This window comes from Homo sapiens, chromosome 10 (genome assembly GCF_000001405.40).
Source record: "Homo sapiens chromosome 10, GRCh38.p14 Primary Assembly".
Lineage (NCBI taxonomy): Eukaryota > Metazoa > Chordata > Mammalia > Primates > Hominidae > Homo > Homo sapiens.
In genome coordinates, this window is record NC_000010.11 from 33,132,732 (window position 1) to 33,136,435 (window position 3,704).

Genomic DNA, 3,704 nt, shown 5'->3' on the forward strand with positions numbered 1-3,704 from the left:
CCTGATCCAGTGCTGCCTTGCCCTCTAGAACCCAGGGTGCCTTTCTCCCCTCTGCAGTTCTACTGCGCCACCTGCAGTTTCTCTCTCCTGTGTTCATGTGTCTACTCCCTCTGAATGGTAGGCTCACACCCTCCACCTGGCCAACTCTTACTAAATCTTGGGCTTCAACTCAAGGATCACCTTCATGGTTCACTCCACCAGGCTGGGCTGTGTGTCCTGCCCAGTTCCTATAGTGCCCTAACTCACTTTTTTAAAAAAATACTTTAAGTTCTGGGGTACATGTGCAGAACATGCAGGTTTGTTACATAGGTATACACTTGCCATGGTGGTTTGCTGAAGCCATCAATGTCATCTACATTAGGCATTTCTCCTAATGCTGTCCCTCCCCTAGCCTCCCACCCCCCAACAGGCCCCAGTGTGTGATGTTCCCCTTCCTGTGTCCATGTGTTCTCGTTGTTCAGCTTCCACTTATGAGTGAGAACATGCGGTGTTTGGTTTTCTGTTCCTGTGTTAGTTTGCTGAGAATGATGCTTTCCAGCTTCATCCATGTCCCTGCAAAGGACATGAACTCATTCTTTTTTATGGCTGTCCATTATTCCATGGTGTATGTGTGCCACATTTTATTTATCCAGTCTATGATTGATGGACATTTAGGTTGGTTCCAAGTCTTTGTTATTGTGAACAGTGCTGCAGTAAACATAAGTGTGCATGTATCTTTACAGTAGAATGATTTATAATCCTTTGGGTATATACCCAGTGATAGGATTTCTGGGTCAAATGGTATTTCTGGTTCTAGATCCTTAACTCACTTTTAACAGAGCTATGGGGGCTTTCAGCTCAGCAGTGGCTCTTCTTAGCAGGGGACTGAATGTGTTCCCTTTGCCAAAGCCTACTTTGCTTTGCTTATGTGATGCTACTTACAGGATTTCCAGATTGTTTTTGGTCTCTTCAACCATTTGCTTTCTTTGGACAGGACAATGCCCAGTGATGAAGATGAAGCTCTTGTTCTTGACATCTAATCCCACACCATGACTAATAAACATGGCATGCTGCAATGGGCATTAATTTATGGGTAACAGAAGCAGATCCAAGCCTTTTAGCTAATTAAATAAAAATGCACCATACAGCAACCATCCTGCCTGCTTGGGTGTAAAATAGAGAGGAGAAAGATGGCATGCTGGTCATTGAGAGATAATTACCTGCAATTTCAGAGCTGGAATCTAGTGACAACATAAGAAAAATAATAACCTCTCTGGCTGTTAGGATTCTCAGTTCTAGCTGCGAGCAAGGAGCAAAGGCACCCACAGACTTGCCAAACCTATGTCAGGAATGACGAATAGAAGGCAGAAATCCACATCCCCAGGTGGTAAAATTGTTATCCACCTTCGTCACCTCTTTCCTAATGGAGGAAGTGAGGACAGGCAGCCTTGGAGTCCTACTTGAATGAGGCCTGGACCTTATGCAGGGTAATAAAAACCAACACGTGGGGCCTGTGCTGTAAGGTGGCAGAGGGCGATGACTCACCCCACTCATGCAGGTTGAGTCATTTCAAGGCAGAGTTGTGCCAGTTCAGTACCCAGTAATATTTTCCAGTCGACGAGTATCAGTGAACAGGAGATAACCAGTCATTTCTAGATTCTGCTCAGAGTCCCAGCTTAGAGGCTCCACCAGCTCAAAGAGACGGGATGGCAAAACAGCCACCTTAATTTCCAGATCATCTGCCAGCTCATCTGCCAGCTGACACACAGCCCATGGCTCCACTATTGCCAGTGCTGTAGCTGCACCAGACCAATCTGGTTCAACTTTTATGTAACAAAGTTGTGATTTGTTTTTCAGTTGCCCGGGACTCCCAGGTTGAAGATCATGAGCATGCCCTGATGAGCCAAGGCATGCAACCACAGGGGAACCTAAGTGCTTGGACTGAGGAGTGGGGACTGAAATAAGAAGCGGACACTGCAGGGCAGGATCAGGATCCAATCAGATCGAGCCCTGGCATCACCTCATGGCAGGATCTAGTCAGATCGTGGCTTTTGACATCACTTCATTGTGAAATCCAATCAGATCACACCTTATTACCCTATCCTTATAAAACCGGACCTAGCCCCCAGCTCGAGGAGGCACTGCTTTGGGAGTTATCCCAGGTGTTCTTGTTACTAGTTGCAAGGAATAAAATCCTCTTGCTAAATCCTCCTTGGTTGTGCAGATGTTGGCATGGATGTGGAGAGAAGGGAACACTTACGCTTTGTTGGTGAGGATGTAAATTAGCTCAACTCTGTGATAAACAGTATGGAGAGTTTTCAAAGAACTAAAAATAGAACTTCTACTCAACCCAGCAATCCTATGAGTGCATGAGTGGGTATCTACCCAAAGGAAAAGAGACCATATAAATAATATACCTATTTATTGCAGCACTATTCACAATAGCAAAGTCACGGAACCAAGCTGAGTGCCCATCAGTGGTTGACTGGATAAAGAAAATGTGGTCTATATACACCATGGAATACTAATGAAAATAATGATTTCATTCTTTTTATGGTTGTGTAGTATTCCATGGTTTATATATACCATTCTTGCGGCAATGTGGATGGAGCTGGAGGCCATCATCCTGAGTGAACTAACTGAAAAACAGAAAACCAAATACCGCGTGTTCTCACTTATAAGTGGGAACTAAACAATGGGTACGAATGATCATAAAGATGGAAATAATAGACACTGGGGGCTCCAAAAGCAGAGAGGATGGAAGAAGGACAAGGGTTGAGCACTTACCTGTTGGGTACAATGTTCACTACTGGTATATTGGGGACACTGGAAGCCCAATCCCCACTGGTATGTAATATACCCATGTAACAAACAAATATATGTACCTCCTGAATCTAAAATAATCAATCAATCAATCAATCCTCCTTGGTTGTGGTCATTGGGTTGATATCTGCCAAGTAACCACTGAGCTAAAATTGGGAGCTTTTACATATTCGGTATGTTTCTTTTTTCTTTTCTTTTCTTTTTTTTTTTTTTTTTTTTGATATGGAGTCTCACTCTGTCACCCAGGCTGAAGTGCAGTGACATGATCTTGGCTCACCACAACCTCCACCTCCCAGGTTCAAGTGATTCTCCTGCCTCAGCCTCTCAAGTAGCTGGGATTACAGGCACCTGCCACCACGCCCAGCTAATTTTTGTATTTTTAGTAGAGGTGGGGTTTTATCATGTTGGTCAGGCTGGTCTCAAACTCCTGATCTCAAGTGATCCATCTGCCTTGACCTCCCAAAGTGCTGGGATTACTGGCATAAGCCACCATGCCTGGCCCATTTTCAGTGCATTTCTGTGTTTAAAGGATATCACATAACTGAAATAACATTTTTTATAAACCATGCAACTTGGCTCTACTGGGTGAAGCTCACGTTAGAGGCCAACTTTCAACATATTTAAACTATGGAAGCCCCCAAAAGAGCAACTTACGTTAAAGGTGACTTATAGCAGAGGTAGCTAGGCTCAGTCCAGACTGGACAGTGCTCTCAAAGTTTATGTGCAGAGGCGGCAGTACCCAGGCAAGTCTTTGAAAGTCCCGGCTTAGAACTTGGCACAATCACCTTAGAGATTGTTCACTGCTACAAATGCAGGCATTGATGCAGGGGTGGGGCAGAAAGACGGGGGAGTGGGAGCCTTGCTGCTAATTGGTTTAGTCTAAGATCAAGCCTAACCTCCCT

General features: G+C 44.6%; 1 annotated feature.

Moving 5' to 3' along the window:
* Positions 1,036 to 2,235: an enhancer, noted in NCBI's record as "P300/CBP strongly-dependent group 1 enhancer chr10:33422695-33423894 (GRCh37/hg19 assembly coordinates)". NCBI's record gives its function as "activates an origin of replication core promoter dependent on BRD2, BRD4, P300/CBP, MED14 and CDK7 cofactors, with strong dependence on P300/CBP, by STARR-seq in HCT116 cells {active_cell/tissue: HCT116}" and the evidence as "EXISTENCE:reporter gene assay evidence [ECO:0000049][PMID:35650434]".